Source organism: Homo sapiens, chromosome 13 (genome assembly GCF_000001405.40).
Source record: "Homo sapiens chromosome 13, GRCh38.p14 Primary Assembly".
Classification (NCBI taxonomy): domain Eukaryota; kingdom Metazoa; phylum Chordata; class Mammalia; order Primates; family Hominidae; genus Homo; species Homo sapiens.
The window spans coordinates 102,963,630-102,984,080 of record NC_000013.11 but is presented as its reverse complement, the minus strand read 5'-3'; the positions used below and the strand labels follow the sequence as shown (position 1 = coordinate 102,984,080).

General features: G+C 40.4%; 2 annotated features.

Moving 5' to 3' along the window:
* Positions 13,178 to 13,377: an enhancer, noted in NCBI's record as "active region_7975". NCBI's record gives its function as "activates an Ori minimal core promoter by ATAC-STARR-seq in GM12878 lymphoblastoid cells {active_cell/tissue: GM12878}" and the evidence as "EXISTENCE:reporter gene assay evidence [ECO:0000049][PMID:35858748]".
* Positions 17,946 to 17,995: an enhancer, noted in NCBI's record as "active region_7974". NCBI's record gives its function as "activates an Ori minimal core promoter by ATAC-STARR-seq in GM12878 lymphoblastoid cells {active_cell/tissue: GM12878}" and the evidence as "EXISTENCE:reporter gene assay evidence [ECO:0000049][PMID:35858748]".

Sequence of the window (20,451 nt, the reverse complement as noted above, 5' to 3'; positions counted from 1 at the left end):
GCCATAGAACATGACCCACTTCCACTCTATCAGAGACTGAATCTCAGAATTTCAGGATGAGATAGTAAATCAATATTCACCTTTCAACTTTTCTCTAACTTCCTTCCTGGGCAAGGGACAGGACATGAGAATTTGGTGAAAGATCCTGAATCAGCACTGAAGACAACATCATCCGAGTTGAACGCCTTGTGATTGGATGAAACAATATCACCTGCCATAGGCTAAAAAGGCTTATCTGATAAAGCACAGGATTCTGATATTGAAAGGTGATTAAGGAAGTCAGAGCATGTTAAATATTAAGCACTTCTTGGAATGTGAACACTGTGCTAGAGGTTGCCGCATCATAGGAAATGAATCTTCAGATGACCTCAAGGTCTTTGGCTCTAACATTGCTGAAGCACAAAAATGTCAAAGTATCTAAATGAGTTCCAGAACCAACACTAAAAGGAAACACGACTGCTTGAGGGCAATCCTCACATCCCCAGATGTTTTCTATTCAGGCTCCAATCCCATTGCCCTCCAACATCATCAGCTCCTGGGGAAACACGGTTAAATCTATCATCTTGACAACCTTCAAATGAAGACTCTCCTTTGACTTTGTATTTGTTCTTATTGGAAAATTTTACACTCCCTCCTCCATAATAGTATCAGATTTCTCTGATTCTTCCTGATGCTGCCACAAATACCTAGTCTATGTATTCTATAAATATTTGTTGAGCACCTACTATGTGCCAGCCCTCTTTTGGGCACTAGAGAGGTAGATGCAGTGACTAGCAGGCCTTGGCATTCCTTGTCAAACAACTGAAACCATGATTTCAGCAATATTCGACTTTGCTGACTTTAAAGTCCGTGGTGTCTCTTCACAATACTGGGATAGTCTTTTTTGCCTGCCACTGGTACTAACTCATATTCCTCTAGCCTGCAAGAATTTCCACTCCTAGAGCATCTGATTGCCCCTTCTTAAAGAAGGATGGCCAACGTATTAGTTTCTATTTCAGGAATTTCCACCCTCAACTGTCAGGCAGTATAGCCATCTCCAATCCTCTGTGTACTACATCCAACTTACTGCCCACCTTTTCAGATACACCCATCCCAATCTTACATCACCATGGTCTCTATTAAAGCATAATAAAATAATATATATTGTTATGTTATTATTTACAAATAACCCAAATAACACTACACGCCTGTCCACTTGTGGCTCTGAACATTGAGAAATACTTGTCTTCCACCTTTGCCTCATTCAAATACCCTCCTCATCTTCCTCCTCCTTTTTCTTCTCCTCCTCCTCCTCCTTTTTCTGCTCCTTCCAGGATGTTCTCAAAGCCCACATCCCTATAAAGATTTTTCAACTACCTCTAGAATTAACTTTTTAAAAACACAATGTTGTTATGACATCAACATACTCCAGAATATAATACTTACATTTTGAAAACCGATTGTGTGTGTTTATACCTGAAAGGTATTCCCATGTTTCTGATAATTGAAGTGCTTATGTTCATTACTCCTCTCTATATTAGTGTAGGTAATCTAGGCAATCTCTTCTTCTTTTTTTTTTTTTTTTTTTTTTTTTTTGAGACAGGGTCTGAGGCTGGAGTACAGTGGCACAATCTTGGCTCACTGCAACAACATCTGCCTCCTGGGCTCAAGTGATTCTCGTGCTTCAGCCTCCTGAGTAGCTGGGATTACAGGTGCACTCCACCATGCCCAGTTAATTTCCGTATTTTTAGTAGAGACGGGGTTTCACCATGTTGGCCAGGCGGGTCTCAAACTAGTGACCTCAACTGATCCACCCGCCTCAGCCTCCCAAAGTGCTGGGATTGCAGGCGTGAGCCACTGTGCCCAGCCAGTAATTTCTTTTGTGTAAGATTACTTAGCAAATGGTCATTGATATTTGCTATTTGAATTACAATAAGACAATACTGTTCCACCACTTCTACAGAAGCTGATGACTTGGAAGATAAAAGAAAAAGAAATTAACAAGTACAGATTTCTTATCTTGGTTTCATTTGGTATTAGATTGTTAGATTTAGGGAGAGGAGGGCTGGAGGGATTTTTTTGAGAAGCAATGGGTTCTTCTGTGTGTTTTTATTGGACAGAGCACTGGATCCAGAAAACAGTATATAAGTCACGGATGTTCTTCTAGGAATTGGCCCTGCACCCTTGAGAAACCACTCCACATCTCTGCAAGACAACTCTTCTCACAGGAAAAGTGAAAGAATTGGGCTAGAAGGTTATTTGATCCCCTCAGAGTACAACTATTATTCATAGTTTCCCAAAATAATAAGTACAAATAATAATCTGTACAAATTACCTGTAAAATTACCTAGGCAGAAAGGTATGCCTAGATCATAATCCCTTCACCTCCAATTTGTATTTACTGATATTCCAGGAGTTGGAAGATATTCCGAGGGCTTCAGGATATTTCACTGATAGTAAGCAGCAACAAAAACGCAATATTAAAAAAAAAAGGTATCATTCCATTACTAAACCTTGGTGCACACCCTAAGAACCATCTCAGACATTACCAGAGGCACTACTAAATGGGCAACGAATCACACCGCATTAACTCCTGGGCAACATTAACAGTGTAGAGAAACAACCCAATACATTCAGGATCGTAAATATTCACAAAACATCACATTATTATCACTTAAATTTATCCACAGGTAAATTGGATTAATTGGATGCAAATGAACATTGGGGAAATTAAAGGCCACTTAAAGTTTTCATCTAGCCCTTACATAGGGTCAAAAAGGCAGCCTACATAAAGAGGGGAGTGGGCAGGTGCTATACATCCTAATCCTGGCTTTCAACCACAGCTGGGATTTAGAGGTACGAAGAGAAAGAATAAAACACCTGTGTGGAGGATGGGCTAATATAATAAAGGGGACCAGTCTCATCTGAATGGTGCTGTTCGACTGGGAATTTAGTAAGTTCCCTTAATGCACTGGGCATTAAGGGAACCATCCCCCTACCTGCAGTTAAAAGAATGCACGAGATTCTGGCCTACACATTCTGCGAGCTTGCAGTCAAGTTGATGAGAAAATGAACCCATGCTCAACCCACGATTAGGAAAATGGTACATGCTAAACTCTTACAGACTCATGAATTCATATAAATTCAGAGAGAGAAAATAAATCCTACAGCCTGGAGTTATCAGATTTCCTACAGAAACAATGGGGAGGTCAAGAAGTCCGTGTTGGAATTCCGACTCTGGCCATGCCCCTGGCTTTTTAGTGGCCTGTGTTGCCAGTATGCCAGGAATGGACAGCTTCACAAAGCCCAGGAAGCTTCTACATTGCAAATGCAAAGACATGAATATACACTGCGAGTAAATGAACACTTTAAGTGCTTGTAGAAGAATAATGTCATTCTCAGTAATGGAGATGTTGAGAACGAAGAAAGGAAAGGGTGGCAATTTTGCCATGAACAATTCCAATTTAGGATGGTTTTATTTGAGCAATAACACCGGGCTCTTCCTACAGTTAAGAGACAGACTCAATTAGGAATGTACCCTGTGGGCATTCTGTGCAATTGCCATCCAAGGGACAAACTGCACTCAATCAGCACAGAAAGGACGGCTGCCGTGCATCAAGCTTACAGCTCAGCTCACCAGCCTAGTAAAAGCTCCATGAGGTGCAGCATCTAAAACACAGGCAGATTCCATTAACAGTTGGGTCAGACACATAAAAATGTATTCATCTTTATAGCTATTTGTATTATGTAGAGTTGGAAAGAAGAAGAGCAGTGTTTGTTTTGAAGCCATTCTCCAACTATCTCTTTCCAGGTCCGTTCCCTGCTGACCACGGTAGCCTCCTCACAGGCCCCCTCTTTTGCTCCTTCCAAATTCCCAAAGCTAGATTCTTCCTGCTGCTTGATTAAGCCCTAAAATACAACTGTGACTATGCCTCCCTCCACCCTGCTTAAAAGCCTTGCACGGTTCTCAGCCCTTCCTCATGGAGTCTAAATCCCTTCTCTCTGTGTTTCCTGTCTTATTTTCCACTATTATCTCAGCCTGAAGCTCTGAAAACTGAATTACCCAGCACATCCTGCACTTATCTCCAAGTGTCGATCTTTGCCATGGCCAGCCCCTCCCCGAAGTTGAATGCTCTTCTCCCATCTTCCCCAGCCCCACTGCAAAGTTCTAGAAACATGTCCATGAATTCTCTGCTATCTTTCTTTTGAGAGATGGGACCTAATTGCCCTCCTCTTGAATGTGGGATGGACTTAGTGGCTCATTTCTAATGAATAGAATGAAGCAGAAGTGAGTAAAATGCCCTCAAACCTAGATGCTGCCTCCTCCGTATTATTTGTGTGCTTGCTGTCATTCTCTTTCTCTTTCTCTCTCTCATTGCTGGCTCTGAGAGAAGCCAGCTGCCAAGTCATGAGGACGCTCAGGCAAGCCTATGGAGAGGCCCACATGGTTGCCCACAGAGCCCTCTTGGCAAGAGCCAGCAAAGAATTGAGGCCTCCTGCCAGGAGCCATAAGAGCAAGCCATTTGGAAGCAGATCCTCCATCCCCCTTCGGGCCTTCAGATGACCACTGGCCAACAACTTGACTGCAACCTCATGAGAGCCCTGAGCAGAACCCCTGGCTGAGCTGTTCCCAAGTTCCTGCCCTATGGAAACTGCAAAATAGTAACTGTTTGTTGTTTTGAGCCACTGTGTTTGGGAGGTAATTTGTTACGTAGCAATAGATAACTAACAGTAATAATAACTAGATAATAAGTAAATATTACATAAACTGACTCATTTTCAAATGTCTAAATCCTAAGTACAATTTAACTGTTAGATTAAATGTCTCCTCCTCCATGGATCACTCCTAGCTCACCTGAGTAGAAATAGTGTCTAAAATCACATAAAGTTAAACTGTATCTCTCTTGTAGAATTTCATATCTCTCTTATAGTGGCATGTATGACTTGCAAAATTTTCTGTCTTATTGGGAGTTAAGCTCCTTGAGGAAGTGGTCCCAAGTTTTTTCTCTTGCTATCTCATCAGAGGAGCTAGGTGCATTTTTTTTAAATGTGATAAATATTTATCAAGAGAATGAGCACCCAGATTTCAAATTAAAGTTTATTTCATTGATTGAAATCCTATTTGTGTTTATTGTTATGATATTAGTTAAAAGTTCTATGTGACTGGCCTGGTGCAGTGGCTCACGCCTGTAATCCCAGCACTTTGGGAGGCCGAAGCGAGTGGATCACGAGGTCAGGAGTTTGAGACCATCCTGGCCAGCAGGTGAAACCCCATCTCTACTAAAAATACAAAAAATTAGCTGTGCATGGTGGCGCACGCCTGTAGTCCCAGCTACTTGGGATGCTGAGGCAGGAGAATTGCTTGAATCTGGGAGGTGGAGATTGCAGTGAGCCAAGATCGCGCCACTACACTCCAGCCTGGGAGACAGAGCGAGACTCCATCTGAAAAAAAAAAAAAAAAAAAAAAAAAACACGTTCTACGTGACCGCAGAAGCAAAAGACCATATAAAAAGTGTCTTATCCCTTCATAACTTTCACAAAAGGAGAAAACTGCCCAGGGTATAATAACTAATGTATCCAATTTACAAGCTCATTAGGTAAAAGCAATTAAAATATAACCATTCTGGTGTTGGTCCTTGTACAAAGCTGATACAGAATTGAAAGTAGGGGTGTGGAAATCAAGAGATGACTAGGTCCTAACCAGATAATAAAGTCCTTGCCAAGTTTTCCTCCAGTTGAAAACAGAAACTTTTCTCTTTCACATTGTTTGTGAGCTGACATCATCTCCTAGACCATTTCCACTCTCCTTAGTGAAGCCTTCTCGAATTTGCTTTGTACGATATTAACGAAGCATCAACAGCAACATATGAAAAGTGAATAAGTATTTTTGATTATTTGTATCTAAAGCCCAGGCCTCCCGTTTCCTCTGAGTAATGGAAAATGTGAAAATGGATTATGAAGAAAGCATGAAATGTTCAGAGCATTTTGGCTTTTAAAAATGAAAGCACAAAAATCACTATGTTTTGCTGGAGCTCCCAAGACATAATTGCATAAAGGGAAGGATCCTTCCTGCCAGCCATTGTCTTTGCCGCTGGTAAAAGGAAAGGCTGTCAAAGCCCTTCTCTCTGCTGCCTTTCACATATTTCTAGAATGTCTATTATCACCCAATGTTCAGTGACTGGTGGAGCTCAGATTCAGGCAGGAACAGCTGGAGAAGACAAATCGTACCCAACTCTTACGCTATCAGATCTGATCCTTGATCTGAAGCAACCATAATAAATGTATTGAGACATTTTGTACAGGGATAATTGTTTTCATTGTAAATCAGTATTCATTTACAGATTATTAGATACTGTAAAACTTTTATTTATGTGTGGATGGTTATGCATTCTTGATACATAAGACATCAAATCAGCTGGCTCCCTTCCCTTTCCCAAGCAACCAAGACAACAAAAAAACAGTGAGTGCCTGAGTTCCAGTCACTCCCACCTGGCTTTCCAATGTTAAGATAACATCGTTCCATTCACAATTTTTAAGTACATCCTTAGAATTTTGACTACTATTGTTCCAACTCTCTGCTCCCAAAATGGGGATAACATTTTAAAAGACTGGAAACCCTTTAAGGAATGTTATTCAGACTGCCAGGCATTCAATTATAGAGCACCTCTGCATTATTTTCTACACTAGATAAATGAAATAAAGGTTTAGGCAATAATTCAAAGAATTTAATCAATGTTAGCCATCAATATAGGTCATTCAAGACAGTATAATTTTAGTCTTTGGTAGTAAATGCTTTCAGCCTGAATTTTCTAGATAAACAACACTATATTTCTCTTTGTCAGTGTGAACGAAGCTTTAGGGGGAATAGGGGGAACTTTACCTTCTTTTAAATTAGACATACCTGCCATTCACATTGCCACTCTTAATAGCACACTGTATCCAAACCAAACCAATGGATCGTAATGCAATGTTGTTATGAATTTTTTTATGAGTAGTGAAACTAGGCTCTCCCCACATCTGACATCTTGGTTCGTTTAATCAACATCACCCCAAGCCCTGCTGAATTTTAAATGGCAGAAAGTCATCAACAGCACAGCCATAGATTAAAGCAATGCCTATCCTAATACAACTTCACCCAAATGGAAATGTGGCATACTAGGACAACAGAAGTCCTAGCTAAGTCAAGAGGGAGAAAAAGACGCAGAGGAAATCCATAGCACTCCATGAGGGAATTCGACCATCCTGTGGTTGTCTAGAAAACACTATAGGAAAGCGCATCTAATATATGGAGGAAGATATGACCAGCTGTGATTCTGTAAGGCTGTGTTAAAAAAAAAAAAAGACTTTTCAGTGAACAATTAAAGATAAACCTAAACTATTTTCAGTATAAAAAAAATCCAATCGTCACATTGGTCTTTTGATCACATCTACAGAAATGACAATCACTACCAAGAAGGTGACTGGACATCCTGGCTGCCAAGGAAAGGGCTGGCTTGTGGCTGCCATCCTGAATCAATAACAGTGTCACCTTCCACTATCAGAAATATTCCAGTTTGGACAACCAATTTTATGGTCACCGTAATTTTTAGTGTATTATTATTTAGAGGGAAATAACAATGACATAATAAATACATGTATAACCTTAAAGAAAACCTTCCATCTACTTCCTTCATTCTGATATTCCTCAGTCTTGGTAAGAGTATCCAGTAAGTGTACTGTTATCAGCAATATTCAACTTGACCCTTCTACTCCACCTGACAGAGAGCTTCTCTCTCTCTCTCTCTCTCTCTCTCTCTCTCTCTCTCTATCTATCTATCTATCTATCTCTATCATCTCTATCTCTATCTCCACATATACCACAATTTCTTTCTGGTACTGCCTTTACATATTTGCCCAACCATCCCCCAAACAAGAATCTGCTCTTGCTTGCCAGTGTACTTTATCCAATACCAAGACCAAGACTCACTTTCTCACTTTCTCTTATGGATCCGACTTCATTTTACCTCACTGGGCACAGATCCTAGAGATAAAAGTGTATTTTTTAATGTATATTATATTTATTTGCTCAGATGTAACTATTAATATAAATTGGGTGGAATATGGATACAAAGTAACAAAATCTACTGTCCAAGCTTGGGTGCACTTGACGAAACTCTAGCTGCTGACCAGGAGCTCCATTGCCTGCTGACTAGAGAAGCTTGGAGACCACCTCCACCTGGGGGACTCGCAGTACCCCACCCTTCTTCTTAAAGGGCACTGTTCCAGATACTGTCCAGCTGCAAAGAAAAATTGTTGGCCTCATTTTTCTCATTTATTTTTAATTTCCTTTATTTTCTGTAAACTTTTGTAAACCTTCTTCAATCCTTCTGCCTCTAGGTGTGAAACACATGAATATCAAGCATAGCTCTTGCCTACATAGATCACAACATTTCGGAGAATTGGGAAAATAAGAACCACATAGATATAATACAAAATATGATGTAGTAAGTACCATGAAATAGCTACGAAGTGTATTAAGGTTTTAAAAAAGAAAGAAATCACTTCCATTAAGGCAGGTATAAGACAAAGACCTAACAGTGGATAGGATTAAAATTGTGTCGTCTTGAGGTTACAGAATCAGGTTACATACATGGCAGAAATGTTGAGGGGGAGGGACAGGCAGTCCAGGTGGGAACAGCATAAATAAAATTATGGGGGTTAGAAAATGGAGAGCACAATTGAAATAAAATAGTCATTCTAACTAGCAGAATGACTATTTAGCAGTAAGACATGGCCTGTCTAAAAGGGTAGATTTCTTATTTGCTTAATGTATCCAGGGAGATCAAGTTACGAAAGAAAAATGTATATATTCACAGCATGTGTGCATATGTGAGTGTACCTATGATTTTATTGAAAAGGTACATGATTATTAAATACTCATTTACAAAATGCACAGATTTAACAGCCTCCTACCACACACATTTCTACAATGTTTTCTTTCTGCTCAGATAAAGAGAAAATCAGCCAGGAGCTCCAAAGAGACCTACTCTATCAAAGATCCAAATTCCACGTGTGAGAACCAGGAAACGAAAGAGTCTCAGATCCACACTCCTGTAACATTTTATAAGGGCATGTTTGGCAGCTCTGATCTGAGGCTCACGCAGCCTGACTCAGATCAAGCTGCATTTGCGAATCCAGTGCTGGAGGGAAGGGGAGTTTGGGAGAAGCAATTACTGGGTTGCATCGGAGACACCATTGTATCTCCTGCATTCGGTGACAGAGTCTCACTTTTCTCCACTGTAAGTCTCAGTCAGTTTGATTGATGCACAGAACTGTTCCTCTCCCTCCTCCCTGGGGAGGGAGGGGAAGATGAAGTGCAGTATTGCAGAGAGAAAAGTGGTTTTATACACATCATCTTAATTCTCAATGATGGAGAAAGAAGAAAAAGAACAGGAATTCTAAGTAGCAGAGAAAGGTTCAAGGTTAATTTGATTGGCAATATATGAAATGCCACTTACCTCAGGCCATTTGAAATTGCCCCTCCTTCTCTCCACAATGAATGAAATGATTCTTTCCAAAGACAGGGGGATCAACTGATAATGGCTGCTATTACATATTCATATACCACTTTGCATTCTGCAGCTTACTTGGCAGGAATTCTTACAAGTCTCTGTTCGCAGATGCCCTGTCAGGGAGGTGAGGCTGGAATTCAGTGAGCTGTCACAGGCACTTTTCAGTGGACAGAAGGACAGAGACGGGATAGTAGGTGGGGGGTGCCTGGAAGAGACCACACCTGAGGTGCACAGGTGATCTGTGCCTCCACCTTGCCTTCGTTGCTCACCCCACTCAGTCCATACTGGGGGGCTTGCTTTCCAAAGACAGGTACTTTATTTAAGAACATGCTTTGTAACCGATCGTCTTAACAACAGGTACGTCTCAGTACTAGCATGAGGCTGAAAAAAATTATTTTGTGCTTTAAGAAAAAAATGTGGTACCACCACAAAGAAGATGAGGAAAAGAATATAAAAATAATAATAATGTGGAATAATTATCTTTCTATGTTAAGGATGATTTCCTCATCCTAGAGAAAGTAAGGAGAGGTTTTTATTTTAAGGAATTTTTAAAAAGAAAAAGAGGAAAAATTATGAGTTTTTAAGAGTTTTGAGTTTCTGAGTTGTGATGCAACTAACTCACACTTCTTGGAGCATAATCCTAACGAGATGAGGGTAAAATCCATTCAACCAATACTCATTCTCTAACATGCACAAGGAAGAAGGCTGGCAAGTTTTATTCCCATACAAGCCAGTTTAGGTCACAAAACAAAAGACACAGCCAGACACAGGGTTCCTAAATACAGCTGGAGGGAAGTTGGAAAGAAAATATGGATGGATGGCTGAGTGCATGTTCACTGTATCTTGGAAAAAGAACACAAAGCCCAAGGAATCATTAGCTTCATGTTTTTAACTCTCTCTCTCTCTCTGTCTCTCTGTCTCTCCGTCTCTCTCTCTCTCTCTCTTTCTCCTCCCTCTCTCTCCCAGTTATCTTGTGACATGACCAATTGCTGAGTTGCTATTCATTATTAACTGTTTTCCTTCAAGGTCAGTGATTGCCCTGAGTGTGATGACAGTGCTCAAGGTAACGCACGATTCAGATCAACCTTGAAATGTTGACCCATCATAAGTTCAGTGTAATTAAAAGGTGTGCCTATGCCCATGCCCGCTGTTTGAAACCTAATGTCTCTGCACTTACCCAGAATATCTGTCTGTGGATTTTCTTCATGGGCAGTTTTTACAAAGCACTAAAAATCTGCATGAAATTAATGACTGCAAATTAGCTTGAGCAAATTTCTTAAATTAACTCAGTAACAGTTCTGATTTAAATTTAGGAAGAAAGGGGCTTTTTATTTATTTACAGCCAAAGAATATAAGGTAAATTCAAATAATTTAAGATCAAACTACTGCCCTGTTTGTGAAGTCTGGGGTTTGACATGCAGCGGTGGGTTTTGAAGAATGGTTCCTTCGAGTTATTCTGACCACAGCTGTTTTCAGTGCAATTGATTTTTATTACTAATGGGATTGGTGCTCCTCAACATACAATGCAGAGAGAGAGAAAACACGATAGCGAGAGGGTGGAGGAGAGAGAAAGACATTTCCACTGAAACTACTCTAGGACAGTCTTACCACTCCCCTCTAAACCTCACTCCAGGACGCCAGGATGCATGTTGGCAATTTATGTCTCACAGGGCACTCAAGTCCATCATTTCAGAGACAAGAAGCAAAATCCTTACTCTAAGAGAATAGTTGATTCCTCCAAGTTTAGCAGGAAACCAAACTGAAACGGTTGAACTTGAACAAGGAAACATGCTTAAGAACCAGGAATATGTCTGGATAAACTAACTGCATTTCAATAAACACCTTTCTTGGGGTTTATTCTTTAACATAATCAGAGCATCTAAAATATCTCTGTCACCCTGAATGGCAAAACTAAAAGTAAATGACCAAATAGATGTATGTTATGAAAGAAAAGCTTACCCAAAAATGTGGAACCAACCTAAATGCCCATCGACTAATGAGTGTATAAAGAAAATGTGGTATATACACACCACAGAATACTACTCAGCCTTTAAAAGGAATGAAATAATGTCTTTTGCAGCAACTCAGATGGAGCTGGAGGCCATTATTCTAAGTGAAGTAACACAGGAATGGAAAACCAAAACCATATGTTCTCACTTAGCTCTCACAAGTGGGAGCTAAGCTATGAGTATGCAGAGACAAACAGAGTGATATTATGGACTTTAGAGACTCAGAAAGGAGAGGATGGGAGGAGGGCTAGGGATAAAAACTACACATTAGGTACAATGTACACTACTCAAGTGATGAGTGCACTAAAATCTCAGATTTCACCGTTATATAATTCATCCATATAACAAAAAAACACACGGACCCCAAAAGCTATTGAAATAAAACAACAAAAAGAAAAAAAAGAAAAGCTTGCCCAGGTAGTGACTAAGATGGTCTGCAACTTTTTCCATCAGAGCTTGGAGACAACGAAGGAAGCAGAGTAACACTGATCAAATCATTCCATAATCTCCAATGCATGAGCTCAGTTCCAACAATACTGTGACCTTCCGGGCTATTCTCCAAACTTTAAAATACTGCTACTCATCTACAAATGGAGATTCTAATACATACCTTCCAGGATTGTTGTGAGGATTAAATGAACGTGAAGCTTAGCACCAGGGCTGGCAGGCAAGAAAGGCTCAATGGATAAATGTTGCTGTTATTACTGTCGCATCTGTAATTTTTTTACTCTTTAGTACTTAGCAATAAATTGATTTTATGGTAAACATGTATATTTGGCCACAATCATTTTCTTCCATGCATCCAAAGCATACAAAAATTTATTATTTGGCAAAAAGTAAATAAATAAAGCTTTTATTTATTTATTTATTTTGAGATGGAGTCTCGCTCTGTCTCCCAGGCTGGAGGGTAGTGGCGTAATCTTCACTCACTGCAACCTCCCACTCCAGGGTTCAAGCGATTCTCCTGCTTCAGCCTCCTGAGAAGCTGGGATTACAGGCGCCCACCACCATGCCCAGCTAATTTTTGTGTTTTTAGTGGAGACGATTTCACCATGTTGGCCAGGCTGGTCTCAAACTCCTGACCTTGGGTGATCCGCCTGCCTCAGCCTCCCAAAGTGCTGGGATTACAGATGTGAGCCACCACACCCAGGCAAAATAAATCTTTTAATTCAGTGACTCTAAATAAGACCTCTCTCAAAGAGTATATGTTGAATGCCTCCTGCAATCCAGGCACTGTGCTAGGCTGAAAGATTAAAATCCCAGGTGATCCGGCCAGGCGCAGTGGCTCATGCCTGTAATCCTAGCACTTTGGGAGGCCGAGGCGGGTGGATCACCTGAGGTCAGGAGATCGAGACCAGCCTGGCCAACATGATGAAACCCTTTCTCTACTAAAAATACAAAAACTAGCTGGGGGTGGTGGGCGCCTGTAATCCCAGCTACTCGGGAGGCTGAGGTAGCAGAATCACTTGAAGCTGGGAGGCGGAAGTTGCAATGACCCGAGATTGCGCCATTGCACTCCAGCCATTTGGTACTGAGTCCAGCCATTGCACTCAGTACCAAAAAAAAAAAAAAAAAAAAAAAAAAAAAAATCCCAGGTTATCCAAGTCAGCATCAGTTGATGCAAGTTTTTCTGTGGCAATAGAAGGATGAATATTGAGTGATTCCACTTATGTGGGGGATCTGAAATAGTCAAACTCATAGAAACAGAAAGTAAAATGGCAGTTGCCAGAAACTACAAGAAAGGGAAACAGAGAGTTACTGTTCCACAAGTGTAAAGTTCCCACAGTTACAAAGGTGAACACCTGCTGCTCAGCAAGTATAAGCTCTAGAGATCTGCTACGCAATATTTCACCTATGTGTCAAGTGGGTCCATCTCATGTTAAGTGCTCTTTCTCACCAAGATGAAATAAGTAAATTGCTCTTAAAGATGACCTGTGGCTAAGGATGTTCTGAGACTGAAGAACAAGCAGCCTAGGCGAAGTCAACTCACAACTTCAGAGGCCTTGCCAGTCCAACTCTAGACAAAAATAAAAAAGTAAATAAATGAAGCTTTCAATTTAGCAAGACTAAGAAGGTCTCTCTCAAAATGATACAGGTGTACTCCAAGTAAATGTAGGCCAAACAGGAATGTAATAAGTCAATCACGGAGAACCTATCAGCAACTGAAAGTCAAGAAGATAAAAATATAAATTCACATAATGGAAAGAGAGCGTCAGGCAACACTAAGCAATTAGGACTGATGGTTATTCTATTGCCAAAGATCTCAAAAGATAAAAGCATGGTCTAGTCCTCGGTTTCCTCACAGAGGCCCAGATCTACTCACTTTTTTTCACCCATGCTGCTCCCAGTGTCTTTCAAAGCACGTTTGGCTCAAACATATACACATTTGCAAGCTTGCCAAGGCCTTCGAGTACACATGGATGTTCTAAATGATAAACCAGTGCCAGTATTAGCTTTAACTAACACTGAACGCTTTGGGAAAAGTAATGCATGACTAGCTTATGTGGTCTTTAATACTGTTTATTGTCTGCCCCTTTTTGACATCATTCCCTAAAAGAGCCCAATTTAATTCACAACAAAAAGTTGCTATGTGCCATACCAGGTTCTCCTTATAATTATTCATAACATTTTAGGATAATTTTTATGGCTTTTATGACTGCACTAGCCTTCTCAACCTCTCACTTTTACATTTTGAACATTGGCACAAATTTTAAATCTATTGAACCACCCATGGCTTCCCACAGCATTGCATTATAAGCATTATATTTTCGCTCTCTATCTTCCTTGTTTGAATCATCATTTGAATACATAGTATACATTTTTAAATTTCATCCTTTATCTGCATTATCGCTAACTTTTCATTTAGATCCTGCTTTTGTAAGTACTCAAAAAAATCCATAGTGCTATCACAGCAGGTGCTATTTATGAAATGTAAACATTACCAACAATGCAAAAATGAAATTTAATTGTGAGTTGTATGATTTTGTAAGTACCAGGCCAAAAGCTAGACACTTTACATGTATTATCTCATTTAATCTTTAGTAAAATCTTAAGAGACTCCAGTATCATCATCACACCCACTTTACAGAAGATAAACTGAGCTGGAAGACAGTAAGTAATCTGACAAGGTCACATAGCAAAGAGGAGACAAAACTCAGAATCCATCTGTCTAGCTCCAAAACCTAGACTCTTAAGCATTGCACCATGTGCAGAAAACATTATGTGCTCTTTTGTGCTTGCGCTTTTGTTCAAAATACTTTTCAATGTTGAAGTAGCCAAATAAAATCCACATACAATGGAATAAAGGCTTTGGCATTTTTAAGAACCTTTAAACTTTCATTTTTTTTCTTCTAATGTACCCCCTTGCTATTACCTGGTTTATTCAGTCACAGTTAGAATGCAATAAATGGAGTAACAACACAAACAATACTGAAATAGCACACGTAGCCTAGCAAAAATCCATAGGAAAACAGAGCAACGTGAAAGCAAAGTCCGAAGGCCCTCCCCTTGTATGGCCCTGCCTGCCCAGCACTCTGGCTTCCCGGCAATCAGCCACACACCGCAGAACTTTGTGTTTCCGCCCACAGTGGAAATTTCCATATCTAAAATGTTATTATGGGCTTCATAGAACAATCTGTGTAAGGTCATATTTGCATAAGTCAAGTGTTCCACAGTCTGTACAGCGTCTTTACCTAATGCAGGATTAAATTGCCATGGGGGGCTCTTATTAACCCTCCAGATTGCCCTAAATGCCAGCCAGCATTCACTTAAAGAAGAGTAGCTGGAATATGGAAGCAGCAAGGCGGGGACCTGCAGTTGAGCTCTCCAGTACTCAAAGCCACCAAAGCTCAGAAACCGAGGGAGAAAGACTCTTTTATTCACCCGTGTCCTTTTACGTAGTAAGTTAGTAGAAGCAGGGGAAAAGTCAGTGGGTGCATTGGTGACAAATGAGGGGACTTCAAAGGACTATGCATGGAGATATTACCAGATTGTCATCAATGCAGATGCTCTTTAGCCCAAGGGCTTCCAAACTGGATTTCCAGAAGTCCTGATTTCCTGCCTCAAGACTGCTTTAGGAGTGAGAGGGAAAGGCCCAGTTAGCATGGCCACAGGTCTTCAAGCTTTCCTTCAATCAGTGTGGCTCCCCTTTTTTCTGTCAGGCATGCTGGAATTTCATGCCTGGTTTGTTTGGAAGGAGTATCTAACGCTAAAGATGAAGTCAGAATGCCACTAATTCAGGACAACTTCTACCACTTACCTATATGACGATGGTAAGAACGCCAGGCTCAGTATCTTGCCCAGTGAGTCAAGGCTGGAAAGTGGCAAGCCTAGACTGGAACCTAAGAATTTGGATTTTGGGTCCAGAGCCCAACCAGCACACCTGGAGCCTTTGTCCACCATTTCCTTTGCTTCTTTCTACTCCTGCTCTGGAAGTCTATTGTTACTTTTCTCCGATTAGGTAAATGCATAAGTGAAATAAGGTGCACAGGTGACTCTTCCATCAAATCTTTAAAAGCGGGCAGACCTAGAAACTGTGTAAGGCACATGGTCTTTGGAGGAGGGGTGCCTTTGATGAACTACCTCTGCTTCCAAATCCCATACGGATGAGTCCTGAGCATGTGCACATGAATCTATCTGGCCTAATTCCTTCAGTGATTGTGTTGTATAGTGCGCTAAGACTTGCCAAGCATATGTACACATTTTGTCTCAATGTAAAACTTAGCCCCCTGTAAAAGGCTGAGGATGCATCTATCCTACTGGGAATGCAGAATTATAGGGCTTTACAGATCACCCAGCCCAATTTGTAGATGAACTTGTAGTTGATCTACAAGTGAGAAAACTGACACCCAGAAGTGTTCAGTGATATCTTAAGGTCATTAATATCCAAGCCAAGACTGAAGACCAAATCTACTGATTCCTGCACCAGCTCCTGTCCCACTACCCAGCCCAGTTGTGTGCAGTCAAGGTTTTAATGCGTCCTGATATTCTTTCAGATGGTGGCCCCACTCAGAGCTGCACACATGACCTCACATACGAATACTTAGAAGCTAAAAGCAAAGTTATTTAGTTAGTTGCTTATTTCCAAGTATCTCTAAGGACATTTGCTCTACATTCTCATGCATCTTCCTGCTTTCCTTCATGGTACTTGTAACAATTTCATGTTATTTACTTTTCTAAAATGCATTTATTTATATAATGCATTTACTTATTTGTTTGTTCAGTTCCCTTCTGCATGAAAATATAAGTTCCATGAGAACAGTGGCTGGTTTTCTGTCTTGTCTAACACTGCTATTTCCAGACCCCAACACATTGTCTAGAACATAAGCCAAAGTCGAATGAATGAGCAAATGAGTAATTGAATGAATGAATGAGTGAATCTCGCTACCCTAAAAATACTTCTATGACTATACTTGTTACATAGTATTTAAACCATGCATTCACACTTCTGTCTCCCTTAATCAACTGTAAGTTTCTTGAAAGTATCTGCACTTTGTAGTGTTGGCAATACCTAGTTGTGCCTTATTTATACAAAGAAGGAAATTAATAAATATTTGTCAAGTAAGTAAATTTATTCATTCATTCATTAATGAAATCCTGGACATATAATAGGCACTCAAAAATATGTATATACTGATTAACTGATTGGTTTGTTGGTTGATTGATGAGTGCTTGATAAAACTCCATGAAAATCAAACATTTCCAGGGTGATATTTTTAGGAAACTATCAACCATCACAAAAACCTAATTTTTTTTTTTTTTTTTTTGAGACAGAGTTTCACTAGTTGCCCAGGCTGGAGTCCAACGGCACAATCTTGGCTCACCGCAACCTCTGCCTCCTGGGTTCAAGAGATTCTCCTGCCTCAGCCTCCTGAGTAGCTGGGATTACAGGCATGTGCCACCATGCCTGGCTAATTTTGTATTTTTAGTAGAGATGGGGTTTCTCCATATTGGTCAGGCTGGTCTTGAATTCCCAAACAAAGGTGATCCGCCCGCCTCGGCCTCCCAAACTGCTGAGATTACAGGCATGAGCCACGGCACCCAGCCATAACCTAATGTTTTTGTATGAATTTTTAAAATGTCTATTTGAGGACACAAAGAAGGGAACAAAAAATACCAGTGCCTACTTGAGGGTGGAAGGTGGGAGGAGGGTGAGAATTGAGAAATTACCTATCGGCTATTATACTGATTACTTGAGTGACAAAATTATCTGTACACCAAACCCCAGCCACATGCAATTTTCCCATGTAAAAAACCTGTACATGTATCCCTTTAACCTACAATAAAAGTTGGAAAGAAAAAGGTTTATATCTATAAAAATATGATTCCTCTGAATTTTATTTTTTTAGCCTCTTTTCTTCTCCACTAGTTAGATCAAAAATATAACTACTTTGTAGAATATGTTTTCAGTTTTGTTCAGGACACCGTGCAAAGGGAAGCCATTTAGGAGCAGGTTAAGGCAGGTTTCCTCTATACATGTCACTTCAAGTTCACTGTTTCATAACTTCAAAAACCAAAAAGGGGTGAAAGTTCAGGGTAACTACTTATGACTGTGAGCATCGCAGCATGTAATAAAATAGTCACAGAGCTTCTGTTTACTGGATTTGAGAAGGTCATTCTGAGTATGGTTCAAGGCTAAGTGCCTAAGTGCATCATGGGCAATGCCTTGGATTTCTCTGTACCTTTTAAGAACATCTTTGCAAAGCAGGTGACAGCTGTGGAAAATAGAATGCACACACAGACACACACACCCATCTTTTCCACTAACATTTTGGCTTACTTTTAAAATTCTACAAGATCTATTCTACAAACTGGAAACATAACAGAGGCACTTTCTCAACAGATATTGAGAAATAAAAAAGCAACAGGAGTTAGTCTTTGATCTCCCAGCCATATTACAGGTAGAATGAAAAGAACATGTTCTATTTGGGAACTGGTGTGTATGTGGAGATATACATGCACATACACTCAATCTGCTGTTAACCTTGTGCTCAGAAGAAAGAAGTCTATGTGTAATTGAAATCTATCACTGATTTCAAACGTTTCATTTGATTTAATCCTTTTACTTGCTTCCTTCACCATACACCTTACTAAAATGGTATTTAAGCTGCTTGCTAAAATGATATTTAAGCTGCTTTCTGTATCTGCCTCTGCCCTTCTATTGGTAAAGGAGTTCAGCCATGAGGTGGACACCATGGCATGAAATAACAAAGGTAAAATAAGGCCCGAATGATATCTAAACTCTTCCTCAAACCTGGAATTGCCAAAGGTTGTCCATATTGTGCATAGGTAACCTGCTGGACATACATGAAGTGTATGCTCCTACATGAAGTATACAATATCCAGCAAGTTGGAGATGCTGTATATTTGGGGTCCCAGCAGGAGCCTAGGCTGGTAGTCACAAATACCTAGACATGTCCAGTGAATTTGCAGATTGAGCCCATCAGAAGCACATCTGGAAGAGGTGCGAAGGAACTGCCTCTTAGAGACCCCACCAAAAGAAAGAGAATACAGGCAGAATGAGCATGAGCTGGGAGGAAAGCCTCGGTGTCTCCATGTCGGGAGGTTCCCAGCACAAAGGGTTCTATTATTCGGCTTTGTCTCCCAATTTAGCCCACAGTAAACACCTGAGTAAGGCCCGTAGAAAGAGAGGGAGAGCATGTGTGAGGGAGAGGGGAGGGGAACCAGAGAAGCTGTTTCACTAAAAACACACAGCTTAGGGAAATACCCCTTTCCCCCCACCAATATTAGATAATAATAATAACAATAAAGATGGGGGAAGAGGGGGACAGAAGACAGAGAGCAGTTCCTCCCTCTGCTCCACAATAAAATGTCATGCACGTCCCATCGCCCCTGGGCTCCAGGGCTTCACATGCTACCAGAGATGGGAGCGATCTGCAAACACAGCAAAACCCAGACGCTGCCTTCTTAAAGCTGGGGGACTGTGTTCACATCTGGCAGTGATAGACACACTTCTAAGCACACCTGGGGAATTTCTAAGTATTTAAAGTCCTCTGTGAGCATTGTGGGACAGGTGAAATTTGGATTGTTCCTGTTAAAGTGCCCCATTTGTGTACCCACAATACAAGGAGACCTGTGGAGTCTCAAGAGATTATATACATGCCTTTATAATACATAAAAAATTTAAATGACCATCAGATACTTGTGAATTGGGATTTACAACCCTCATGATCAAGTTCAGATTGCATTTTAACAAAATTTATTAGTTGTCTGCCTACATATAGCACACTGTGCTAAGTACTGTATGGAATGATAAAAATGTTTTAAACGTAGTTCTTTTATACACCAAACATGATATATCACTGAATATGTATTTGCGTACATTCATATATAACAACTCCTCCCCAGCTTCAACTTAGATCACATGAATTTGATTTCTGGCAACTCTAGACATTCAAGTTATTGCTATCAACCATGTAAATCAGTTAAAAAGGCCTGAAAGCTGCAAAGAAAATTGTCAAGAAGTTAACGCACTTTGCTCTGAAGAAAAAGAAATAGAGTCACCCTTGAGTCAGAGGCCATGAGCTTAGTATGATGTACAAATTTCAGGTTACTGACTTGAAGTTTAGTTACCTGTATTCTTCTGGTAACCAACAGCATAAGAAGTGACAACTGACAGCAAAGGACAAGATGAAAGAAACAAAACACCACAACAATCCTGTGTCCTTGATTGAGGTGAATGGGCTGAGACACCTCCACGACCCCAAGGGTGCACAAACATCAAAACCTGTCAGTTTAATGTCTGATGTTCAGCTAATGTCTGAGTCATCAAAAGGAGGTAAGCTATGTTCTGTCTCTTACAGTAACCAAGAGACACGTAGATACAACACATTTAAGATTCCCATAATATTTTTTAATATGGCCAATTAACCACTTGAAGGCTAAAACACTGG